Source organism: Homo sapiens, chromosome 8, assembly GCF_000001405.40.
Source record: "Homo sapiens chromosome 8, GRCh38.p14 Primary Assembly".
Lineage (NCBI taxonomy): Eukaryota > Metazoa > Chordata > Mammalia > Primates > Hominidae > Homo > Homo sapiens.
In genome coordinates, this window is record NC_000008.11 from 120,684,623 (window position 1) to 120,712,052 (window position 27,430).

Consider the following 27,430-nt stretch of genomic DNA (forward strand, 5'->3'; position numbering starts at 1 on the left):
ACCAAATCTATACCCAACAGGGCAAAAATTGAATTTTTTTTTTTTTTTTTGAGACTGAGTCTCATTCTGTTGCCCAGGCTGGAGTGCAATGGCATGATCTCGGCTCACTGCAACCTCTGCCTCCTGGGTTCAAGCAATTCTCCTGCCTCAGCCTCCCGAGTAGCTGGGATTACAGGCATCTGCCACCACACCCAGCTAATTTTTTGTATTTTTAGTAGAGATGGAGTTTCACCACGTTGGCCAGGCTGGTCTTGAACTCCTGACCTCAGTTACTCCACCCGCCTTGGCATCCCAAAGTGCTGGGATTACAGGTGTGAGCCACCATGCCCAGCAAAAATTGAATCTTAATTCTCCAGAATAATTTTCTTTGACTCAAAGTCCCACCTTCCAGACACACTGGGATGGGGGTTGGGCTCCCCAGGCTCCAGGTAGCCCTGCTCTTCATGGCTTTGATGGGCACAGCCAATGTGGCAGTTCTTATGGGTTGAAGTTGCATGCCTGCAACTCTCCCAGGCAGGAGTTGCACACTGATGGCTCTACTGGTGGGAGGTCTTGTCCCTGAGGTGGCTCTGCCCTTATGGCTCTGCTAGGCACTGCCTTAGTGGGGGCTCTCTGTGATGATGCTGGCCTCACAGCCCTAGTGGACATTGCCCTAGTGGGGGTTCTCTTTGGTGGTCCCACCTCTGTTCTCTTTCTGGGCCCCAAGGCCCCACACGGCGTCCTTTGAAATCTAGGTGGAGATAGCCATGTCCTCACTGCTTGTGCACCCTGTGTATTGGTGTAGTGGCACCTTGCAGATACTGCCAAGTTTTACTACCTGTGCCTTCCAGAGGGCAGCCTAAGCCATGCCTGGGGCCACTTGAGCCACAACTGGGGCAGCCAAGGATCAACATAACACAAGGCACAGAGCAGAGTCATTAAATTGTTCTGTTCCCAAGGCCCTGGCAGCCTTAAATCTCCAAATGCCTTCAGGGTCATTCTTCCATTGTCTTGATGAATAAATAGCATTGGGATTTCACCTACTCATCCTAATCTCTTTATCAAAGGTTACACTCTTTGTATTCTCTCCAGAACACATTTTTTTCATTATTTACAACAGGCTGGGAATTTTCCAGATCTTTAAGTGTTGCATCTCTTTTGATTATACATTCCATTTTTAATCATTTCTTTCTTCTTGCCTTTTACTGTAAGCAGTCAGGAGAAGCCATGCCACACCCTCAACACTTTGCTTAGATATTTCTTCCGTCAAATATTCTATTTTATTGTTCATAAGTTCCACCCTCCACAAAACTCTAGGACATGAACACAATTTAGCAAAGTTCTTTGCCACTTTATAATGAGGATGGCCTTTCCTCCATTGTCCAATACCATGTTCCACATTTCCATCTGAGACCTAATCAGAACTGCCTTTACCACCATATTTATACCAATATTCTGACCATGGCCACATAAGATAATTTCGAAGAAGACTGAGGCTTTCTCTACAGCTCTCCTCTTCTGAGACCTCACCAGAATTCTCCTTAAATCTCCTTTCACAGCATTGTACCTCAAAATTCTTCCAGCCTCTACCCATTACCCAGTTCCAAAACCACTTCTACATTTTTAGGTATTTGCTATAGCAACACCCCAATTCTGTATCAATTTCTTAGTCTATTCAGGCTGCTATAAAAAATATCTTAGATTGGGTAGTTTACAAACAATATAAATTTTTTTCTCACAATTCTGGAGACTGGACAGTCCAAGATTAAGGCACCACAGATTTGATGTCTGGTGAAGGTGTGTTCCTCATGGCTGGTACCTACTATATGTCCTTGCATGGTCTAAGGGGAAAACAGGCTCCCTTGAGCCTCTTTTATAAAAGGGCACTAATCCCATTCATGAAGTATTAACCTCATGACCTAACTGCCTCCCAAAGGTCTCATCTCTTAACATTATTACGTTAAAGATTAGGTTTCAATATGTGAATTTGGGGGGTGGGGGGACACAAACATTAAGACTATAGCAAAGAAGGAACCTGAAAATCAGAGAGATTGGATAATTTACTTAAAGTTAAAGGGAATAAGTAACAGACTTGGGATTTAAACCCATATTTTCCAGAATAACTGCAACTCTAGAGTTTTATTCACTGATACAAGCATGCAGTTAATCTGGACCTGTTTTTACATATGTAAAACATGCCCACTTATTACAGCACCATATACATATACTTTATATATATTTTTTTCTGTTTCCAAAATTTAATGACAATCATGAATTCTGGCAATAGTTTCCATTATGAAGCCACCATGACGTGCCCAACAAAGAATGAAGAAACTACATTCAGAAAATACATATTTTGTGGGCTTCTTAAAAAGAGATGTACTTTTCACAAACAAAGACTTACAGAGGAGAAAAGACAGGAAAAAGTACCTCATAAATCTTCATTCTCGATGCACTAAAGGAGGAAATGTTTCAATAGTATTCAAAGTTTAATAAATTTGAGAGTTCTATATAAAACATGAGGGGGCAATAATGTACCCCCAAACACTGGGAAAAAGAGGAGAAAGGCTGAACTGGTAAAATGATTCCTCCCTTGTTTGTAGCCACCAAAGACCATCTGTCTATGAATGTGTAACTAAAGTATTTGGAAACATCTAAAACTCAAAACAGGGTACTATGAGAACAACTTCAAGGAGCCTAGAATGAAAAGTGATTAAATTTGATAAGCAAAACCCAAATCCACTGTTTCGTACTCACAGGAAGAAAGAACCATGTTAACTGAAGAGGATAAATTAGCCATCAAAGGGCAGGGAAGGGCCACATGGGAAACCTCAGGCTATTTATGTACAGCTCAAAGGAGTGGGAGTGTTGGCAAAGCAGAAATTTACATAAGGGTTACCTCGGCAAGGCTCTCCCCATCCTGGAAAGGAGGGTTTTCAGCTTACTTGCCTAAAACATATTTCCTAAGGTCTATTAGCACACCTTCTATTGATTCCACACTCACCAAATCACTTTCATGACAATTTAATTTCTTGTGTAGCTTATCTACTCAGAAAGAGTGCATCACTATTCTTTGAAAGTCCACATTGTTTTGGGTTATTAATACTTAGTGTTCTGGCATTCTGCTCATATTCACATTTGTCTTCCAATACAGCCTGCTCACAATGAGAGGGTATATAAATCCTCCCACGTGGGCATTTCCATCTACTTGACAACTGTGTTGCTCATCATAAACAAATTTTGCCTATTTGGTTAATGTGAGTCAACCCCTTAGAGATGGATCTGCTAACACTATGCCCACTAAATCAAGTTTCTGATCTTCTGTGGCTGAAACTCAAGCACTGGATTGTGGTGACATCACTAAGGGTACCTTGTAGCAACATATCCAGGCATCTTACAGGACTTAACAGATGGCACCTCTCTGAATCACAGTGCAGCCTAGCACAGGTTTTCCATTAGAAACCAAGACAGCACTTTCTGTGAATGTTTCATTTGTGCACCATTAATAGAGATGTACACTGTTTCCCAAGAAAGATGATGTAAATCTTTCCATAATTTAACCATGAAAATCTACAGTGGACTCTGTTACGTAGCAGTACAGGGTCATGACTTAAAGCCTCATAAACTACCCATTGTAGCACAGCTGCTCACGATCCAGTGACACACTTGGTTAATGGATTGTCCTGGTTTCTTTAAGCTTCCTATGTCTGTCAGAAGAGAACTATGCTTTTATTTATTCCCTTATTCCCAAGACTATTTAGTGGAATATTTTTTCAAAAGACATTTTTAGAGAAGAATATGAAAAGCGAGCAGATAAATATACTATTTATCATTTATGAACGAAAATAGTTTTGAATGCCAAAGTTCTAGATATCTGGGGTAATAAAATAAAAATATGGAGTGTCTCAGAGCTCAAAAACCTTATGACTTAGGAACTGAGTAGGCATGTAAGAAAAAAATCACAAGTTATTATGAAGCATGCTATAATGAATTATTTGACACAGAAGGTATAACAAGACATTGATATCTGAGAAGACTGTTTACCCTGAGGCTTAAAGGGCAAGTAGGAAGTTGTCAGGAAGGCAATTGTAGGAAGTATACAAATTATTTAAGGGATGCTGGAACAGAAACGATGAGGTAAAGAGGAGCTGGACAATTACGGACTATTTAAAGCCTAAAGGGGTTTTTATGTAATACTGAGGAGTTTAGATATGAGTGCAGGTGACAGGGAGCCATTTTGACAGAAGGAGTAAATTTCAGATTCCCTTGGCTAGCTAGGTGTAGAGTAGACGGTGGGAAATGGGGAAAGAGCAAACCAGCAACAAAACACCCTGTAAGAAACATACCCAAATACTCTCAGGGACTAAGGATGTGGGCCTGGCTCAGGGCAGTGGCTGTGAAGGCAAAGAGCTGAATATGAAAAACAAGAGATATTTAAGAGGTAGAATAATAAAAATATATTGTAATTACTGACAGCCACTAGCATTGACATATTCTTGTGGATTCAATGCCTGCTGGGTGACCTTTTTCACAGAAAGAGCAGCAATCCTGCCTGCTGTTCTATGGCTGTTGTATTTGAGAAATTGAACATTAGAGTTTTTAATGCAGACTACAGGCACCTGTGTGTCACCAACTGAGGGGATTAGCCCCAAGATGCTGTGGCATTTGTCATTGGTTCTCAGGTTTTAGCTCCCAGGACACCATTAACTCCTGGCCAAGGTGCTTATAGTTCAGGCGAGCTGCTCTGCTAGGTGCTGAAGTTAGAGGCAGTGTGTGTGATGATTCAGAAATTGGGCTTGGGGTCAGCTAGGCTTGGGTTTGAATCCGAGATCTACCGTTTGCTTCAACTCTCATTTCTCAGCTAAGCATCACTGTCTATAAAGTAGAGAGGAGTTCCCGCTACCTATGATGGTTATTTGAATTAAATGAGATTCTTGCTTAAATTCACATATAAGGGGTAGAACTAAGATTCCACTGTGGGTCTAGCTGACTGCACACTCCACACTCTCTCTTTATCATTCCTTCTCTTCATATTTAATGGATGCATTATTTTCATTATTATTTATTTTTGAAGAAATGCAACAATGTCAGTTTATAGTTCCCTTTTGACCCAAGAGTTATTTTACAGAGAGCTTTAAAAAACCCATGAAAAAAAGGCTTTGTGTGGTTTGGTTTTGTTATTGATTTTCTAGTTTTATTCCACTGTCATCAGAGGCTGTTGTTTGTATTATTTGTACCTAATGGAACTTATTGCATTTTCTTTGTGACCTGATCTGTGGTTAATTTTGTCAGTGTTCTTTGTGGACTTGAAAAGTAAGTGTATTCTCTATTATCAGAGTAAAGAGTTCGCAATGTATTCAGATCTACTTTATTTATTTTGTTGTTTGGGTCTTCCATATAATTATAGTAAGTCGACCCTTACTTATGGTTCCACTTTCCATGGTTTCAGTTATCTGAGGTCAACTGCAGCCCAAAATAAGTACAATAAAATATTTTGAGAGACAGAGAGACCATATTCATATAACTTTTATTACAGTATATTGTTATAATTGTTCCATTTTATTAGTATTGTTGTTAATCTCTTACTGTGCCTACTTTATAAATTAAACTTTATCATAGTATGTATGTATAGGAAAAACACAGTTATAGAGGAGTCAGTACTATCCATGGTTTCAGGCATCTATTGGGGGTCCTGTTACATTCCTTCTATGAATAAGGGGGGATTACTGTATTTATCTGTGTCCTCTACTTGCCCTTACTTGGATGGAAAGTGGTATATGTTGAAATATCTAATATGAATATGTTTCTGTCTATTTCTTCTTGCATCTTCTGCAGTTTCCGCTATAAAAGTTGCTGTTTTGTTATGTGGTATGTATTCATAACTACTGGATGTTGCTTGTGAACTCTTGCCTTCAACATAAATCAGTCCTTCCTTGTGCTACTTTATGGACATTTTACCTTGGACATTTTTCAGCCTGCATTTTACCTTGTCTTATATCAAGATCAAAATCAATGCTTTCTGTTGTTATTTAATAGTTTGCATTTACCTTGTAAGCTTTTGCCCATCCTTGTATCTTTCACCTTTTAAAATCACTCTGTTAGATGTGTCTCTTGCATTCAGCATAGAGTTGGGTTTTGCAGATTCCACATTTCTGATGGTACACCATACCCTGCTCAGCCTGTACCTGGAGTTTCATAAAATATTTGTTTCCTTTTTATTTTCTTCTCTTCTTCTACCATGGGCAAGCCTCACCTAGGCCCCCAATCTTCTTGTTAGAAGCAGTTTGGGACCTGTCTGGACCTGAAGTCCCTTCGGAACCATCTGGCTTAGCTGGATTCTCATGTTTGATTCTGCCCTGCTGGTTCTCACACCACAGCAGAACAGGCTCTCCCTCTCCCACAGGGGAAGCCCTATGTATAATCGTCAATGGTGGACTTGACGAGCACCAATATAAAAGTTTGAAACTTATTCTCCTCTACTGGCTTGATATACAGACTGAAGTTTCCAATATCTAAATTAAGGTCTGATGTCTCCCAAAATATTCTTTAAAATATAATTAAATGACCTGGGAGTGCTGTTGTAGCATATAAGTCTACTTCTGGAAGAAACCCAAGAAATCATCTATTCAAATTTTCTCCCTAGTGTATGAATTGCTCCTACAATGTCTCAGTAAGCTTTTGTCTCAGTTTAGATTTTTCTGGAAATGATTAACTGACACTGTCACCCATTTTATAGGCATGAGTTTGAAGCCCAGCTAGACTATATAACAGCTATATAATGTTGAGAACTTACATAAACACTTTTTGTCTAAATTTTTTGTCTGTAGAATGGGGACAATGAAAGAAACTCAGAGAGCTGTTAAGAGGACTAAGCAGGGTTACAAATTCAAAGATTAGGCAGGTAATTAATTGTATTCCATAGTAGAAGGTAATAGAAATGATGAGGAGAGTTCATTCCCTTATCAAAGGAGAAAACTCTACTGAGCTCTGGTATATAACTGCCCTGCCTGCAACAATGTGGGCCCAATAACATCACCAGTTCTTCCCACTTTTCTAGAAAAGCAGAAACTGGCTTTTTAAATGTGAAGTTTTTCAGTTATTGAACATGGCAACTAATTCCAATTTATTTAAACACTTAGACTATTTAAAAAAAAACATATCTGTAGGCTGGGTATACCATAGGCTGCCACTTTGCAGTCTGTGGTCTACATTAATTAGCATAATGCACATGATAGGCACTCAATACTACATCATGAATTCATCACATCTGAAAACTTTGACATCAGATCATTGGGAGATGGGACTTGTTTGATTGGGTGGGTAAAAGCCCAGGGAAAAGGAGACTTAGAGTAACCAGGATATCGACTGCAGGCCCAGGAACTCTGCAGAAATTGTGGGGAACAAAACAGAGAACAGGGTGAGAGTGGACCAGCTATGAGCTCTGTGTCCTTCCCAGTCTGTCTGCTCTTACCCCTCTTGCCGATACTTGCTGGCTTTCTTGTACAACTGGCCAATCCCTGTACAGAAATAACTAATACAGGAGGAGTAGGGAGAGCGGGGTAGAAAGATCCTGCAGCTGGCCAGAGCCAGAAGGGCCCTGGCAGCGTCCTTAGAGTGAGCTAACTGAGATGAGAACAAAAAAGACATTGAGCTGGGAGCCAAGGAAGCAACTTTCTCCCTGCCCCTATTCCCGATGGCTTTTCCCCATGAGCAACTCTGAGCCTAGCCAAATACTTTCTATTCGGGTGGGTTGCAGCTGTCCCACACACATTCTAAATAAGGGCCAGTCGAGCGGTTCCTATTTTTAGCACTTTAATGTGGATGCAAAGGTCACTAAGATTCCCCATTTGCTGGCTCGATCCCTCGCTTTCTTTATTTCTCTTATTTTCCTCCTAAAATATATGTTTTCTCTTCTACTGAACTAAAGTAAGAATTCTGGGGGATGAGGGACCCTGAATTTTACTTCCTCTTGGCTGCATTCCTTATAATTGCCATGGGTTGGGTGATATATCTAGCCTGTGGCGTGCAAAGTCATGTACCGACTTTGGGAAACAGCATTCCAGACTTGGACCAAAGCCACTCCTTTTGCTCTCTTGAGCATAAAGAGATGCTTAAAGTAGAAAATAGCCTTAAAGCAACTCTCATCTAACCCTCCAAGTATACAGTTGACAGCACTGAGGCCTAGTAAGGTGAATTTGTTTATTACTATCTAACATTAATAAGAAATATTACTATTGCTTATATTCATGGAAGGTTTTCCTGTACTGAGCACCTTACATGGTGCATTGATTTATTTTGTGTTGCTCTAAAGGAATACCTGAGGCTAGGTAATTTAAGGAAAGAGGTTTATTTGGCTCACGGTTCTGCAAGTTGTACAGGAAGCATGGCACTGGCATCTGCTTCTGATGAGGGCTTCAGGGAGATTCCACTCATGGTGGAAGGGGCAGGGGGTGCCGACAAGTTACATGGGAAGAGAGGGAGCAAGAAAGAGCAGGGAGGTATTTCATGCTCTTTCAAATAACCAGCTCTCACTTGAACTAATAGAGCAAGAACTCACTCACTGCCTCGGGGCGGGCACCAAGCCATTCATGAGGGTTCTGCCCCCATGACCCAAACACCTCTCACTGGACCCCCATCTCCAACATTGGGGATCACATTTCAACATGAGATTTGGAGGGGACAAACATCCTAACTATATCACATGGATTTCCTAATTTAGTTCTCACAACCAAACAAGGCATCTATTTCAATTATTCCCATCTTAGAGATGACAAAACTGAGGTTAAGCGGTTTAAGAAATGTGGCCTAAGTCACATGGACTGGTAATGAGCCCTAAAGACATTTAGGATGCTGATTCCAGTTCTTTAACTCTTTCCAGAACCAGTGCTCAGTGTATAGATTCTCTCTCTCCTCTGTCTCTCTCTCTCTTTCACACACAGACACACACAATTCTCAGCATGGCCCTTTCATGCTTTTCTTTGGAAGCCATGATGTGTTTTCAGAACATGAGGGCAATCTCGTGAAAGCCCCCATTTAGCCTGAGAGGCCGAGGAGCTGCTTGATACAGTGGAGAGTTTTGACCCTATTTACCTGTTCTCAGGGTCGGCCAAGGCCATACTCCGAGTGACGTAGCACATTTTGAGGGGGATGCTTTTCCGGTCTCTGTGGAAGGAGAAGGACTGCGATGACGGGGGGTCTGAGGTGCTGCCCCCTAACCGAGGGGATTCAGGCGGAGGTGTTTCCCACCCAATCTCGGATACTGGGGATCCTTTCTTCACATAGGGCGTGGCTTCTCGCATGTACTTCACTGCAAGGAAAAAGACAACAAGTGCTTTTAATACATCACGGCTGAATTTCTGGGAAGTCTGATTGTGTTTCTGAAATAGACTTGCTTTGGATAAGCTCTTAATACTGAACTTCTTAAATTCTCAACGAGATTTTGAATTTTTGTTCCACTCAAGGTAATTATCTTATTATTTAAATTATATAGCTCTGTGCATCTTAGAACTTGCTGTTATGATGTCCTACAGTTGAGAATTGTGTCTAGCTTTTTTCAACTGTGACAACTTTTGCACTTTCTGATTTTAAGTTTTGCATTCTGGGAAAAAGGCTGAAAACATGGGCAGAGAGTGAGAAAGTATAACTTAGGCTAAAAGATACGTTATTCAATATAGATGTAAGGAATATGGCAGCCACATTCATTACACAGGATGCCATTTTTCTGTTGAGAAACAATCATAGGGTTTTCAATTTAATAGTGTCAAGGAAACACATACAAAGAAATATATATAAGAACACATTTTGTAGTGGCAAAAATGTGTAATAGCAAAAAAAATTATTTGTAAGAGCTGAAAAGTAGAAACAATGTAAATATCCATTAAAAAGGAACAGATTAAATAAATTGTAAGACATTTATATCATTTAAAAAATGATATATATATCATTAATTCTTAATATATATCATTAATTCTTTATATATATATCTCTTTCTCTCTCTCTATATATATAGATGTAGATGTGTTGATGTGGAAAGACCTGTAAGATCTATTATTAGTGGGGATAAAAGGAGAAAGCAAAGCATATACTATAATATCTTTGTATATAAATTCATAAATATATGTGCTTATATGCCTACAATTATTTCTGGGTAGAAATATAAGAAATTATTAACACTAGTTAGCTGTGGGAAGTGGAAATAAAAGCCATAATGATTAAGAAATAGGCTTTTACTATTTATTTATTACTCTTTCATATCATTTTCATGTTTAACCATATGTGTGTATTACTTTTATAAATCTTAAGAAAACAAAAATAACTTAAGAAAACAAAAATAGCTTAAGAGCCCAGTGAAGCAGACTGAAGTTCTGCTCTTTGATATATTTGCCTTGGTATCAAGAAGTATTTTTGCCTATTCTGAATTTGAGCATTTGGTCTTTAGGCAGCTTTTGGGTTAACAGGGCAACGAGATTCTTGGAACATGCAATGTAAACTTGCATATTCTTCTCTCTATCACCCACATACTCTGGTTCACTGCTGCCTCAGGAGATTGGGCTAAGTCCCTCACAGGTGTTTGTTATTACAAATGGCAGTGAATTGGAATGAGAGCCAACTAGGGGGCATTTCCTCCAGATCTTTGATGAATCGGTTCCACCAACTAGTGCCTTCCCTGTGCAAGACATCAACAGGATTATAGAGACTACAGAGATGAACAATACACTCCAAACTCAGAGTTACAAAATCATGGGTGACTACAGTGTATGCTGTTGGTGTCCCATCTGGGACCCTTTTCCTATAGCCTGGTTGCTGTGTGTTGGGTGAGAACAACTCATAGCTGCCCCACAAATCTTGGCCCAACAGAAGCCGCTAAGCTCAGGAGGCTGCAAAGTCACTACCCAATCCCCCAGACAGATGCTCTGCTTCTCAGAAACCCACCTAAGATAGGACATAAGACAAAGTACACAAACTACGGCACAAAGTAGAATGAGCTATGTTTTATAAAAGGAATAAAATACCTTGGAAGAACCCATTAAAAAAAGGATCTAGGAGCACGAAAGACAGTTCAGGTTCACAAAAATTTAATTAGCAGTTCAAATATACCCAGATGCATGTAATATGGACCTTTATTGAGGGACTCAATCATATCAAAAATAGCCATATTAATACAAGACAGAGGAGCAGTCATTTAACACCAACACATATTTTCAAGGAAGATTTCAGGGTTTTAGTTGAATATAAGTGCAATTAGAAGAAAAGAGCTCCATGGTTGCTCCAAACCTGTTAGCACAGGTTGCAGTTACAGAAGGAGAAATATTATTCATGGACTGTGTATTTTAATAACTATTATTTATTTCTGGGCAAAATATTTAAAGAGGAACACAGACATACTCATGAACAAATGCAGAAATTTAGGGGGACATATTGAAGCTGTCCGAGGCTGGAATAAATATACTTCTTTAGAAGATCCTAAACTTTTTCATCTGTGAAACCATTTTAGTAGAAGCTAGTACACTGCTTAGCTTTGTATATTGTAGAATTATACTCATGGAAATATAGAAAATTCAAGTATTAGCTGAGATGAATTGAAGATTTTCATTTGATTGCATTATTATCCTTCTGAGTGGAGTAGGGATGAGTGTTGCAGGAGTGAGAATCCAGGGATGCTTCATGGGGAAGGTGCCATTTGAACTTGGCCTTAAAGAGTAGCTAGGACTTTAAAAAGTAGAGATAAGAACAATAATCCTTCCTTTACGTAACATGCTCTGCTTTATAATTTTTATTGCAATTCCATAGAAAAGGTAAGTCAGGTCTCAATTTGGAAGAAGGATAGAGAAAGAACATTTACAATATACTTAATGATGTGCCAAGTATTGAATCAGGTGCTTTACATATCTACCCACATTAAGTTTCAAATGACCATTTAAGGTCTCATTTTATATACAAGGAAACTAAGGTCTAGAGAAGGTATGGATAAGGTATCTTTTATTTACCGAGCATCCATGTGTCCACGAGTTATACAAGAAAAATATTGCTATCTCTTTCAGACCTGCTAGAAAGAAATGCCTTGTAGGGCTATTCTTATTGAAGTGAACACTAGCAGCATGACATAGGTGATCCCTTGTAGGTTAGTATTATTGTACACATCAGCACACTGATGCTCAGAATTTTAGCTTATGTAAAGTTATATGGCTAGTAAGTGGTGTAGCTAGAATTTGATTTCCCAGAGATAATATTTTCTCATGAGATCTGGCCATACCACCTAGATGAAGGATGCAAATGACAAGCTAATAGGTTTGAGCTTTATTCTACAGGCAGTAGTGATAGTCGTGGTGATCTGTGAGTGAGAGAGTGGCAGAATCAAAGGTTAGCTTTAGAGAGAACTCCTGGAAGGTGAGACTGGGTGTACTTAAGAGAAAGGATTAGAAGTAGATCCACCATTTCCAGGGCCATAGGGGTTAATGTCAGAGATAACCCAAGTAACACTCTAAATCTCCACATAAGGGAAGAGTAATCCCAGAAATGTGTGGCTTTAGCCATTCCTGGGAAGAAGCATGGGGAGTATAGCAAGTCTTAGCCTAGAAACAAATATTTGCCAAATAACCCTTTCCTATGTGACACAGCACTAGGGGAATTTCCAAAGGACAGAAGACATGGCACTGCCTTGAAGAAGGGATATCCCATTGGGAGTAATATTCTGCATATAGTAATCCTTTTAACTGGCCAATTGCAAATAAAGACAGAAAAAAATAAGGTAGGTGTGATAATTTTAAAATTTCACTCATTCGGTCAAAACTTATCAGTCAATTTTCATGTGCTAAGAACAGTGCTGTCCATGAGGTATAATAAGAAATGGTCCATGATTAGAAGTTTAAGCCAGGAAAAAGGGAAGTATGTAAATGATATGAGTGCTTATGTTAAATCTCAAAACTGGATTAAGGAAATCTCAAGCTCGACAAATCTCTAGAGGCCTTGAAGAATCAAATGCAAGTCCTTTCTGGAGGAAGGCAACTTCATCCTAAGCTTCAAAGAATCCCCATGAATCATTTTAAAATGCAATGAGCAGGCATAAAAATCAAAGGAAATGTTGCATACAAGGAAACAACGTACCATGTGCAAGAACCAGCACTAAGGGCAGTAAGTCTCACGCATACTACAAAGCTATAGTATGTTTACAGAGACAAATGAAACCTTGAGAGAATCTTCCACAAATTCTTTAAAAGTGATTTAACATAGTGATAAAAAGAACCAAACAGAATGTTTAGTAATATTACCAGAATTGAAACTTCCATAGATAGACATGTCAGAAGAAGGAATTAGGGAGCTGTAGATAAGAAATTTTACAGAATGTAGCACAAATATACAAAAAGATGGAAAATATGGGATAGAGATGAACAGATGTGAAGGATAAAGTAAGAAAATCTAAATATGTTTAACTGGGCCCTTGGAAAGGTAAGGTATAGCGAATATGGCAGAGCCGAAGAATTTTCCCGATGCCAAGACACCAACCCAAAAATTCAAGAAACCTAATTTGGCTTTGCTGAACAATGCCTGTGAACTTCACCACCAAGAAAAATAGAAATAAGGTATGATTCTTCTTTATACTTTGGATGGGGTAATGGCTTAGGTTTTTCTGTGTTTCTTCTGAGAGCTTTAGATATCACCTCTGCTTTTCACTAGTATTGGGAGGAAATCTTAGCAAAATCCCTAAATGAGTCTTGAAATCTCCAGAAAATAAATTTTCAATTTCAAGGAATTAAATGAGGCTAAAAGACTATCGTCACTGTCCCTAAGGAAGATATACTGAGGTTCTGGTAGTTTTTTTCATATCTATCCTGAGGGAGAATAAGTAACATCCACACATCCGTTCTTAAAATCCCTTTGTCCATCCAGGAGTCCTGATTTTTTTTGATATGTATAGAAAATGAAGAAGTTTGTTATTGTGTATAATAAAAAAAAAAGCAAAAGAAGATTGCCATTGGATTTCTTCAAGAACCCATAATTTCTGGTACAGAGGAAGTAATAAAATGGTCAAGATGGTCCTTCTTGCTGGAAGAGACTCCAAGTCATTTTTACAAGGCTTGGCTATCAATTGTAGACATAATTGTACTGCCAAGCACTCCTGTCCCCAATCACCAGTTGAGGTCTGAGACTAAGCAGCCCCAGGCAGGGAGTGAAAGCAGGGTAGCCATGCTTGGGTGTGGTAAAGCAGTGGCTCTAATTGGAAATAGAGTGTGTGAAAACTTCATGGTTCTCTGTTCATTAGTGTCCTGAAATTTCTATACCTGGCAATCAAAATAGTTAGGATATCATCTAATTCAGGGAAGGGAAGGTGTTGCCTAAGAATAGATTTATCTATAATAGGCAGCCAACATTAGTGTATTAAGCAATACAGGAGTTTGTTATTCATTTGTCAAAAGTCTAGAGTGAAAGAAAAGGGCTGCTAGGGCAGCTCTGCTCCCTGAAGTTGTCAGGGACTCAGGCTTCTGCTTCCTGACTGCTCTGTATCCCTGGTGTGCTGTCTAATGATCCAATATGGCTGCTGAGTTCCAGCCATCACAACCAAATTCCCATTAGTAGGAAAGACGAAGAAGTGAAAAACACACCATCCTTCTTGCTTTAAGGCCACTTTTCAGATATTGACACGCTATTTCTGCTTACAACCTGATATGGTTTGAATATTTAGCCCCTCCAAATCTCATGTTGAAATGTAATCTCCATTGTTAGAGGTGGGCCTAGTGGAGGTATTGGATCATGAGGACAGATCCCTCATGAATGGCTTAGCGCCATCCCCTTGGTAATGAGTGAGTTCTCACCCAGTTGGTTCACTTGAGATCTGGTTGTTTAAAAGAGTCTGGGACCTCCCCCTTCTCTCTCCCTTTGTCCCATTCTTGCCATATGATGTGCTGCTCTCCCTTTGCTTTCCACCATGAGTAAAAGCTCCCTGGGGCATCACCAGAAGCCAAGCAGATGGTGGCGCCATGCTTCCTGTCCAGCCTGCAGCACCGTGAGCCAATTAAACCTCTTTCCTTTATAAATTACCCAAGCCCAGGTATTCCTTTATAGCGATGCAAAATGGATTAACACACAACCCATTGGCCAGAACTTACTCACATGGCCACTTCTAGGTGGAAAATAAATTTTTTCTTTATTCTTGACAGCTCTATGTCCACCTAGCTAAAAATGGTAGGGAGAGGTGGCTATTACTGGGGAAAATGAAGAGAATAAATATCTGGAGACAACAGAGGAATTCTCTCAGGACTTATTCTCTCAGGACTTAGCATAAATAGATTTTACAACACATAAATACAAAGAAATGTGTTAGAACAATCAATTAAAAAAACATGACTATGTTCCATATACTTTGCCAAGTGTTTTTTGTGTACTAACTCATTTGAACCTCACAACAATATAGGCATTATAATCATCCCCCTTTGGTCATTCGCCCAAAGTCAGTGTTGGAAAATGGCAGAAGCATGAGGTGAATCCGGGTAGACTGGCTCTACAGTCCTTAGGTTCAACCAGGAAGCAATACTGATTCTCGCTCTGAAAAAAAATTGCGTGTGTGTGTGTGTGTGTGTGTTTGTGTGTGTGTGCGTGTATTTAAGTCAATATTTTTATGTGCTGTGAGAAAACATCCAATTAAGAGGCTATTGCCTGTAACATGAGAGAGTTTGATTTTGTAAGCTTGAACTATTAAACTATGGCATTTCAATAAATGCCTTTTAAGACACTATAATATGTATTCATAATAGAGGGTTTAACCTGGCAGAACTGAACCACTAGTGTCTGCATAATTATACTTCCATGTGCTTACCGGCAGTAATTTCAGGCAAAGAGCTGTTGAAACTGATTTGAAGCAGCCAGGCCCAGGTTCAGGGTGCCTAGTAATCAGAACTAATTAATAAACCATGTCCTTTTTGGGCATCATGATTTAAAAGCTGTGCTTTAGAAATTAAAATTCCAATCTTCAGTTGTAAGAAAAGGGGCGGAGAGGAGTCAGAGGTGCTCTTCAAACCAATAATCCACCAAGCCACTTTCAATATGTTTGTGTTTTTCATTTGAAGGACAGGCAGTTGTGAATATTCCAAAAGAGCATTCAGTAAAGTACAAATTTGCTAAGGCTCCAAGTTGCCACAACTAAATCTTTGTTGGGTTGGCCAGATGACATTTGAAAGAAAAAGCACACAGGCTACTAATGAGGAAATGCTTTAGGCAAATCCAATCAACTCTCCTACCAGACTGGTTTCTAAGGAGCCGGAAAGTCCGTCTGATGTGTTCAAGTTTTCTTAAAAATAACAACAAACACAACAACAAAAAAAGAATTTCCAGATTACAGGAAGGAAAAAAAATTCATTGCTTTAGAGGATGTAAACACAAATGTGGAGTTTTAAAAATGTGATTAAGGAGAAAGGGGATTAGCTGGAGGCAAGAAACCTGGGTATTCAGACTTCTGGTGAAATGTTCAAGCTGGGGACAGGTTGGTGACAGTGGGAATTGCCAACAAAATGCAATATAAGATTTACCCTCAATGGCATTTTCCCAGGTCATCTTAGGGAGGAAAGATGCAGAGAGAGATCATCAATATTTTCAAAAAGACCAAGAAATGATGAAAGAGGTACTATGTTTCTCAGAAGTTATAGCTAATGTCTCGAGAGGCTGAATGATGCAGAGGAAGGAGAATTGGCCCTGGGAGTCTGAGACCTGGATTACAGTTCCAGCTCTGCCACTAACTAGCTCTCCAGCCCTGGGCAAGTCACTTCCCTTGCCTGGATCTCATTTTCTTCGCCTGTCAAAGGAGGGAAATAAGGTCCCTACCCTTCAAACATTCTCTGATTCCTTGGGAAGCTGCCTTTTCTGACAACATTAAAAAAAGAATGTGTTTTACCTCATCTTGCTACTTATGTCATCACCAAGAAATAGCCCTGTTCAAATGTGTGCCACATTCTAGACAGAGGCCTTAAGCAGATGTGTCTTCTCACTTTTTAACCAAAACCTACAGGCACCTGACAAATAGGAATATAAGCCCACATTGAGATTATGTTCTCAAGTTACTTTTTCTTAGGTTTGGCAGCATTATCTAGAAGAATCATTATTTTCATTCAGTTACCAATATTTATTTTACTTCCATTCTGCCAGCTGAATCCTGGCATAAATACATCTGGAAGGGAAGAAGCATTTGAAGGATGGCCAAAATGTTCTGAAGAAGTCATAGGACGTTCTTGGAGAGGGGATTGAGTTTTAAAATGTGGAGTTGAGAGTAAAATAAACTAGGTATGAATTTGTTAAGTAATCTTCCGCCTCCAAAGAAAAGATTATCTCAAAATTGTCCTATTTTAGACTAATCCACTCATTCAATGTGACCTACCTTGATTCTTCAACAAAGCAAGATAATTGATGCCAAAGTAAGGCAATGGACCCACAGAAAGTATCCTATCTCATGAGTAATCCTATCCATCCAGAGCACACTGATTGGTTTAGTTATTAATTAATTCAACAAATGTTTAATGAGCTCTTTCTGTAGGGAGGGCCCTGAGTATTGGAATAGTCACAGTGAATAAGACCGACTGGCTCCCTACCCTTAAGGTGCTTGCATTCCAGTACACATGTGCCTGTTGCGGCACAGGGTGGAGACATTAAACAAGCAGACAATATAGGGCATTGCTCAGAAAGTGACATGCACTAGAGGACAGGAGCCCGTCCCCTTTCACACAGAGCCACTCACCATCTGGCACCTGCCTACTTCCTGACCTAATCTTAGCTGACTTGTTCTGCACAGTTCACATGCAAGCCACAGAGAAGTACTGTTTAATTCGCTGAACATGCCATGTTCTCTCCTGCCTCTGTTCTTTGCACATGTGGTTTCCTCCACGTGGAAACCTTTCTGGAAAACTCCCTACATCCTTTAAACCTCATGCTGGGTAAGACCTCCTTTTCAAAGTGCTCCTGACACCTCAGGCATGCCTCCCTTAAACACCAGCTGTGCTTTGTAGCAGCTTCCACTGATATCAACAGCATCAGGACCATAAACATCGTGATGATGGCTTATTCCACGCCAGGCACTGGGCTGATCAGCTTACAAATATTTAAAAGAACCCTTATATTTATATGCAATTGTTTGCATAATAAGTCTTTCTAGTAAAACCATAAGGTCCTCAAAGTTGAATGACTACTTTACAAACTCTGGACTCCGGAGCCAGACTATACAGTTCACATCCCAGCTCTGTCACCTGCCAACTATGTAAGCTTGGGAAAATTTCCTTACCCTTTTGATACCTTCACTTTTCCATGTGAAAAATGAGGATGCATAGCCATTCTTACCTCAGAGAATTGTTATAAGGTTATGAGGATTAAATGACTTAATACACACAAAGGGCTTGGAAGAGTGTTTAGTACATAGAAAGTACTCATTACTGTCAGAAAAAATAAAAACTCAGGGACATGCAATTAGCACAACTGTCTGGCTACAAAACATGGAATTGTGAGCAAATGAACAACAAATAGAATCTCCACAACATAGTTTCTCATATTTTTTAATTTTTTTTGAGAGATGGAGTCTGGCTTTGTCGCCCAGGCTGGAGTGCAGTGGCATGATCTTGGCTCACTGCAACCTCCGCCTCCTGGGTTCAAGCGATTCTCCTGCCTCAGTCTCCTGAGTAGCTGGGATTATAGGTGCGCAGCACCACACCTGGCTGATTTTTGTATTTTTAGTAGATACGAGGTTGCACCATGTTGGCCAGGCTGGTCTCGAACTCCTGACCTCAAGTGATCCATCCGCCTTGGCCTCCCAAAGTGCTGGGATTACAGGCATGAGCCACCGTGTGTGGCCAGTTTCTCAGAGTTGTTCTCTAGGAGCAGTCTCATAACCAATCTTTATTACAGATCAAGTAGCAGAGGCCAGAGAGTATCAGTCACTTGCCTAAGGTTACAAGACCAAAGAGTCACAGATGAGGGTCAGGAACCCTGCACTCTATCCTGTAAAATGGAGGTAGGCAAGATTTTTCCTTAAAAAGCCAGAGAAAAAATGCTGAGGGCTTTGTGGACCTTAGAGTCTCTGTCATAACTTCATTTTGCCATCGTTGCACAAAGAGGTCACAGGCTGTATACAAATACACCAGTCTGGCAGCATTCCAACAACACTTCATTCACAAAAACAGGCAGAAGGCCAGGGTGGACCCACGGGCTGTAGTCTGCCAACTCCAGCTTTAAAACAATAACAACAACTAGCAATTATTGATTACTTACCACGTGTTGAACCTGGCTCTAAATGTGTAAAGTATGCTCATTAGGGAGCAATTCTATGAAGTAGGCATACTATTACGCCTACCTTATAAGAAAGAAAATTGTGGCATGGAGAACTGAAGTGACTTGCCCACAGTCACACAGTAGCAATTGGCAGTGCTGAGATTTGAATCGAGGGTGTCTAGCTCTACAGCCTCAACTTCCAATCACTTTACCATGCTTTTTTCTTGCATCCTGGATGCTGCCTCTAAACATATGCAAATGTTCATGTCTGAAACCTGTTTGTACAACGACAAAAATTTTCGAAGTCATGTTTCTAAAAACATCTTTTGGCTGAGCATGGTGGCTCACACCTGTAATTCCTGAACTTTGGGAGTATGAGGTGGGAGAATTGCTTGAGGCCAGGAGTTAGTGACTAGCCTGAGCAATACAGCATGACCTCATTTCTACAAAAATAAAAATTAAAAAATTATCCAGGCATGGTGGTGCACACCTGTAGCCCTACCTGCTCAGGAGGCTGAAGCAGGAGGATCACTTGAGCTCAGTAAGTTGAGGCTGCAGTGAGCTATGATCATGCCACTGCACTCCAGCCTGTGCAAAAGAACGAGACTTTGTGTCAAAAAAAAAAGAGAAAAAACAAAAAACGTTTAATCTGCAGTGTTTTCTTTTCATCATCTCATAAACTGATAAAATATCAGTGTTTGTGTTTTCATAAAGAAAAAAGATAAGCCAGGGTAAAAAGAGGCTGGAACTACCGAGATCTTGCTCATTTGACATCCAGATATTACAAAGCAGCTGGCCCACACTCCTTCAAAGCCTGAAGGTGGCGATGGCTGAATCTAATAGATGAGGTACATAATAGGTGTTGGTTTTATTACTTCAACTTACTAGATAGCTTCTAGGAGGGACACCTAATGCTTATGATGACAAAATTGAGATTTTAAGAGTTTCACACAGGCACTAAATAAAAAGATGAAATATAATAGGGATAAAGTAGAAAGTTCTGTCATTGCATATTCAAAATAAAAATCTCTGTAACATGTAGGACAGGGAGAACTGTGTTAAAAGCTGTTGATAAGAATACAGATTCTAGGGATTTTCATGGCTATGATTCCCATAAGAAAGTAATAGGATATTAGGCTCCACTGATAGAAGTATGCCGTTCAGAAAAGGAGAGAGAAGTCCTTCTCTTTGCCTCCTCGATCAGCCTATACCTGAAGTTCTAACAGGTTAGACGATGTTTAAATGAGGGTAAAGCAAATGATCAGCTTGTTGAAAGGCTCAGGAAATAATTAAACCATACATTAAATGACAGACATTAGCACAAAAGAGTGACGTGCATAAACTTTGGAGTCTGACCCTGGGGTCCAATTCCAAGCTCTTCTATTGCCTAGCTCTGTGGTCATGAGCAAATTACTTGGTTTCCCCAAATGCTTGTTCTTTCACTCACTCATAGAACTGTTGTGAGGATTCACTGAATCAATGTAAGTAAAAATCTACAAGAAACGGGATAGTAAACACTGAAAGGTACACTACAATTATTAGAAGTTATTCAACCTAGAAAAACAATGTACAGGACTTAATAACTGGGGATTTGGTTAACTTCACTTTGTGTATGTCTGCAGAATACAGCCATGATCAGTGAATACAATCAACAGGGGTAAGATTTGGGTTCAATATAAGAAAAGACTGGGAGGTGGTGACTTCCCTATGCTAGTGACGTTTCAAGCAGAAACTGGATGAGCTATCTCCCAGTCACATTGCAGAAAATAATTCTACTTTGTGGAAGAGTAGATTGTTTCTAAAATCTCTTCAAGTTGCCATATTCTGTGATTTCTGGAATGTGGTTAATTGAGATGCCTAATCCAAAGACTCCAATATAGTGAGATCGATTCACAGATACATTACCAAGCATAAAATTGTGCTGTACATTTCTTCATTATTATATGCTTATTAGCTACATATTAGTAGTGTGACAATGAGACAATCTGTTAAGCTATCTGGGTCTTAGAATCCTCATCTGTATAATGCGGAAAACAATGTCTTCCTTAGATAGGCAATACAATGTAGTGGTTTAAAATATGAGCTCTAGAGTCAGAGCATCTGGGTTGGAATCCCAAATCTTCCATTTACAAGGTGGACTTCTTTAAGAAGGTATGTAACCTCTGTGCCTCAGTTTCCTTACCTAATAATAACAGCACCTATCTCTTAGGATTGTTACAAGGATTAAATAATTTCAAAAAATGTATACAAAGCCCTTAGAACAGCATCTAGCACAAGCTTATCACTCAAATTTAAATATTACTATTATGTCATTGCTGTTATTGTTGCTATGAAATTTCAGTGAGAAAATGCATTGCAAGGATGTCTCTTTTCGGACTCTCAGAACTGTCAAAATAAAAAGTGCTTGAAAATATCATTTCTTTCATTCATTTCTTGCGCATAAATTAAGCACTTACTCTGTGCATTGTGTGGGACTAGACATTGCAGGATAGATAATCAACCGGATATACGAGTTACTGCTTCTGAGAATTTTATAATCATGCCAGGCAGAAAAGGCATAGAAACCTAAAATACCAAAATTTCTACAGAATATGATTCAATACACACGAAAAGTAGTCTAAAGTTTATTCATCAGATATTAATAAGTACTGAGAGGACCTGGATTAATTTGCCAGCAATTTGCCCTCACCACCAAAAATAATAATAATTTCTCTTCCCTGGGAAAATAAAGTAACTATTTTAACAGCTATACTCTAACATCTGAAGACAGGAAGTGAGTAACAGGCAGAAAGGATGTCTGAATGCTCAACTCCAAATATTGTTTTTACTCTTTGCTAGACAGAAGATCACATGTGAATGAAACTTTACGTCAAAAGCAGGAAGTGTGTCTCTCTCTTGCCCCTTACAGGTATCTCTGGAAGATAAAACTCTATTATTCCAGGTGTAGCTTCATAATAACATCCTGCAAATCAAACTTGGGGCTCAGTAAATTTGCAGTTATTTTTCAGTGACAGAAGCCCAGAGTCATAAAGCTTTTCCAAAGGAAACCACATTAAGTAAACTAAATATCATTACCAAGGGTAGAGTCAGGAAAGGAATGACATTTTTCCACCTTACTCCGAATATGCTGCAAATCTAAAGTACTTGTAGAGGCATCTGAAGGTAAGGTAGATGGTGACGGGTTCTTTGAAACATCAGAGTCTGGCAGACTAGACAATGCTATGGATACCTCCTATTTTGAAAGTGCTTTATAGCACCTCCTTGCACACAGCCTCATTGCATGCTTATTGTCACCCTCATCTGAAATATGCATAAGTTGCAGGGCCTTTTAGAATCTGACTATGCATCTATTTTTTTGAGACTTCCATGACCCAGAGAGTGAAAGCCTAACAACTTTCCCCATCAAATTTTACCTCCTCCCCCAAACATATGTGCACACACAAACACATCTTGCTCCGTAGAACTAATGCCTTTAGGACTCAGCTCAATGGGACTTCACTGCGCTTCTGCACTGGATTTTCTTCAAGAGGCCAAACTTAGCTTGGCCTTGCTTCATACTCTCTCAGGAGAGTAATTCCTAAGAATTACATCAGGATGACAGAGGAAAGGCCTAAGCAAGCTTTAAGGTTCTATCAGAGTCAGAAGAATAAAACCTCACAAGATTTAAGGCTAAACCTCTAGAAGGTTCACTTGAGGCATACCAGTCAAGATAGTTGGGCCTTTGTTGTTTTTTAAAAAGGTAGGAAAGGAATGATGGTGAGCATCAGTGAATGGATACAACTCTTTCAATAAATAAACCCATAGAAAAATTTAACAATAAAAAGGTAGGCAAATCGAGGTTCATAGAGTTTAAATATCTTACTGCAATAGATATTCCAAGCACCAGACCTGGAATTTGATCCCACATCTTATAAATCTAATTTGAAAATCCCTTTCACCATAATCACAGATGTAATAATACATCTACTTCAAGTAACATGAAGACATGAGCTAGATTATTGCAGTTAATGAGCAATGAATTGCTACTGATGCTGGGAAAATCTATGGATATTGGAAAAGGGGACTAAATTAATAAACATACTCTGTGACAATTACATCAGAATTGATGTTATCAAAATATTCCACATGTGCCATAAGAAAAAATCTAAAGGTCATATAGGAAATCCTAAAAAAACATACAAACTGTCACATTTGATGAAAATAAAAAAATTGACATAAAATTTGTATTATAAACAAAAGGGGAAATGACATCAGATATAATATATATTAAAATAATAAATAATCTCTAAAACATAAAAGAATACTTTTGACAGTTTTATGGTAATAAGTTTGAAAACCTGGAGTGCACAAATTCCTAGAAAAAAATAAACTTAACAAAACTGACCTAAGAAAATAGAGAGCATGGTTAGTCTTGTAACTCTTAAAGGAATGGGAAAATTCTTTAAAAATAATTTTAAAATTTATTCTTTAATTTTAAAGAAAATTTTTAAAAAGAAAATACTAGAACCAGAGCTTATTAGTGAATTCTACCAAATCGTTAAAGAACAGCTCATTCAAATCTTAATCAAACTATTCCAGAGACTAGACACAAAAAGAGTCTCCCCAAATTATTCCACGAAGCTAATATAACTTTAATAACAAAAGAAGTCATGGAAAATTTTTAAAAGGAAAATTGCCCATCCATTTTCCTAAATATAAACATAAATCCCAAATGCCAAACAAAATGTCAGTAAACCAAGTCCAACAATATATATAGAAGACAGTAGTACAGCATGACCAAGTTTGGACTGGTGAATAATCCAAGATTGATTCAATATTAGAAAATGTATTATTGGCATTCAATATATTAACAGATAAAAGGAGAAAAGTATATGACTACTTAAGTGAGGAAAATACATTTTATATTTTATAAACTTTAATAGACAGTTATAGGAAACAAAAGAAGCCCTTAGTAAACCAGAAATAGAAGGTAACTTCCTTAACTTCCTAAAGACTATCCACTAGAAATAAAACCAAATTGACATCAAGCATTCTGAATAAGGAAATGCTGTAAGCATCTCCTTGAAAATCAGGATGGAATTAACAATACCCTCCCATTACCCCTCTATATAATGTTGCACTGGAAGTCCTAAGCTGTGCTAAATGACAAGAAGAAGCAATTCAATGTATAAGGATTGGAAGGTTAAAAATGTTAAACAAATGAATGCATGAATGAATAAGTGAGAGAGTGAAAAAATGGAAGGAAGGGAGGAAAGGAAGGAGGGAGGGAGAAAGAGAGGGAGGGAAGGAGGAAGGCAAGAAAGTGTAGGATAAAGCACCTAGAACTTGTTATACCTGAATTTCCATCATGGCTGGGGTCCTAATTTTCTGAGTAGTTGTTAGCAAATCATTTAATCCTCTAGTGTTCTTAAATTTCCTATTCTATAAAATCAGGGAAACTACCTTGGTTAATTAATTCCATTAAAAAGGATAGAAAATATGGGAAGAAATACAGGCTTCTGGGATGAGAGTGAACTATTTCAGTTTTGGAGATGTGAGGTTTGAGCTGTGGACAGAACATCCATGAAGAGATAAAGGTCAACAGACAGCAGAATTATGAGTCTGAAGCTTTGAGAAATGGTCAGAGGTTCATCTCAGTTCCAGTGGAAGGAGATGTTTCATGACAATTGTAATGGTTAGCACTTATTGAGCACTAACTAAATGTCCAGGGTTTTACATAGATTACATCTTTTAATTTTCACAACCACCTTGTGAGATCATACTGTTATCATTAACAGTTTACAGATGAAGACACAGAAGTCAAATAACTTACCTAAGACCCTACAGCCTCAAAGTTGTGATTCAAGCCTGATTCCAAAGCTTTTCCTCTTTCCCACTGTGTTGGGAAAGTCTGCCTTTTGGAATCAGATCTGATTTAGAATCTTTTCTCCCCAAAGAGCCTTGAGATCTGGACAACTTGCTACAGTTCTCTAAGCCTGAGATTTCTTCTCTTGAAAAAGAAGAAAATAATACTAAAAGCATGGGGTTGTTGTGTATATTTTACCAGATGATATATGTAAAGTGTCTGGTATTTAAAAAAAAAAAGGTATGCCATAAATAGTAGTTCCCTTTACCCTTTCTGCCCAAGGCAAACCTCCCAGAAGCAAACTAGAGAACAAGGACAGAGGGAGATAGCAGGTATGTAACACCCTAGAGCCATTTTCTTATGTTCCAAGTTATCCATATCCTCACTATCCCCCCTCCGTTTCCGCAGACAGCCCAGGGGCAAGCAAAAGGGCAAAAGGCAGACATCAAAGCTCAAAAGGGAAATAGATGTTGAACTGAACAGATGACTTAAACCCTTCCTCCTATTCTAAAACACTATCTATGTTCCCTGATCTAATCTTGGAGCAGGGAAGAAGGGGGCGGAGGTTGTGGGTGTTGTGAAGGGAAAACTCAAACTAAACAACAGGAAGCTTATTGGCTTATTTGAGTACCAGTATAGTTGAGCTAAAAGATCACAGACTTTGAGTCAGATCAATCCAGCTTATGTGGCTGATAGCTGCACAAATGGCTATGAGGAACATTTCCTGACCTCTCTAAGCCTCACAGGGCCTGTTAACATGTAACGCACAAATTTGCTATTAAATTAGGTAACACTTGCTGTGGTTAGAATGCGTCCCCTCCAAAATTCATGTTGAAATTTCATCCTCATTATGATAGTATTGAGGTGGAACCTTTTGGGAAGTGATTAGGTCACGAGGGTTCTGCCCTCATGAATGGATTAGTGCCTTACCAAAGGGCAGGAGGGAACTAGCTTAGGCCCTTTTTGCCCTTCTGCCTTCTGCCATGTGAGAACACAGCATTCATTCCCTCTGGAGGACAAAGCAAGGTGCTCTCTTGACAGCAGGGAATGAGATCCTCCCCAGACACCAAACCTATTGCTGGCTCAGTCTTGGACTTCCCAGCCTCCAGAACCATAAGAAATAAATTTTTTTTTCTTTATAAATTACCCAGGCTCTGGTATTCTGTTACAGCAGTACAAATAGACTAAAACAATAAAAAATATTAAAGGATATTTAACACACATTCTGAAATGTGTTAAAACGCAACTCTTCCTGGGTACTGATATGAATCTCAAAACAATCACCAGAAAATATTTTAGGGCATATTGACCTGCACTTGGAGAAGAATCCAGAACAAAATCTTTTTGGCTTGTGCAAAAACCAAAAACCAAAACAAAACAAAACCCTACTTTTTGGTGTTGTCTGTGGTAGAACATTGAAACCCAGGTATTCACTGGCAGGAAACAAAACGAGAGTTTTAACAAGCCTGGGACAAGTAGCCTGAAAAAATCTCAAATCACTTCATGATTCATTTTGTTGTTTAAATGGTGATATGGTTAACTGAATCTAGGTATGAAACTTAAGTTTCCTCCAGGTTGAAAGTGGACTTGAAGTATTTCAATGTAAATAACACCTTTAAATATTACATAATTTAAAAAATCATTAAAAAAAATCTTTATACACTCTAAATTGTGTTGCCCTAAGGTAAAGTATACTCCACATTTCAAGGCCTCACAGCTCCCTGAGATCAAAGCTCTAGGTTAGCTAAATGGGAAATCCTGGCTGTGTGTTACAGATGAACACTCTTATTATCCATTGTCCTGGGCCTCCTCGCTTCCCTCCATGCAAGACTGTTTACTGTGTAAACAAACAGTAGCTGTGCAGGCCGTCAGGTGTTTTGCACCAAAGAATTCAACATATTTCTCCATGAAAAAATACAAGTGTTTTACTTTCTGTCAGAGTCTAAACTCTTCACTCCTTTTTCTTTTCTGTTCAACGGATAATTCATATTTAAGTATATGACCTCATTAGACAAGCCTACAAGTCATGCAGGATTTCTGATTCAAGCAGGCTCTGAGGACCCTAAAACATAATAAAGTACTTGTAGTCTAACATGCTATCAATTATAACAGGAGCAGAACCCAAAAAACAAACTTTTATCTTTAGAGTAGTATATATTGTTTGTCAATATAAAAAAGAAAACATTCATTTTCTTTTCTTTTTTAAATCCTTAGTAATATTCAAATATGTTTTAAATGGAAGCTTCTGCTTTAAGAAAGTCCACCCACATTATACACACTATAATATTCTAATTACTTCCAAGAAATGCTTCCTTCCAAGTTTGCAATCATTTACAAACATTAAGACATACTTCAGTGAATCACACT

General features: G+C 38.9%; 1 protein-coding gene across 4 annotated transcripts in view, besides 1 other annotated feature; it reads right to left on the reverse strand.

Moving 5' to 3' along the window:
• SNTB1 (syntrophin beta 1) overlaps positions 1-27,430 on the reverse strand; it is a 276,291-nt gene that overhangs the window by 148,867 nt on the left and 99,994 nt on the right. For all 4 annotated transcript variants that reach the window (NM_021021.4, XM_047422126.1, XM_047422127.1 and 1 more), the window contains exon 2: positions 9,070-9,286. In NM_021021.4, the coding sequence (NP_066301.1) occupies positions 9,070-9,286 (217 nt within the window). The remainder of the gene's footprint in view (positions 1-9,069; positions 9,287-27,430) is intronic.
• Positions 660-1,207: an enhancer, noted in NCBI's record as "NANOG hESC enhancer chr8:121697522-121698069 (GRCh37/hg19 assembly coordinates)". NCBI's record gives its function as "activates a minimal SCP1, AML or CMV promoter by ChIP-STARR-seq in naive H9 embryonic stem cells {active_cell/tissue: H9 hESC(naive)}" and the evidence as "EXISTENCE:reporter gene assay evidence [ECO:0000049][PMID:30033119]".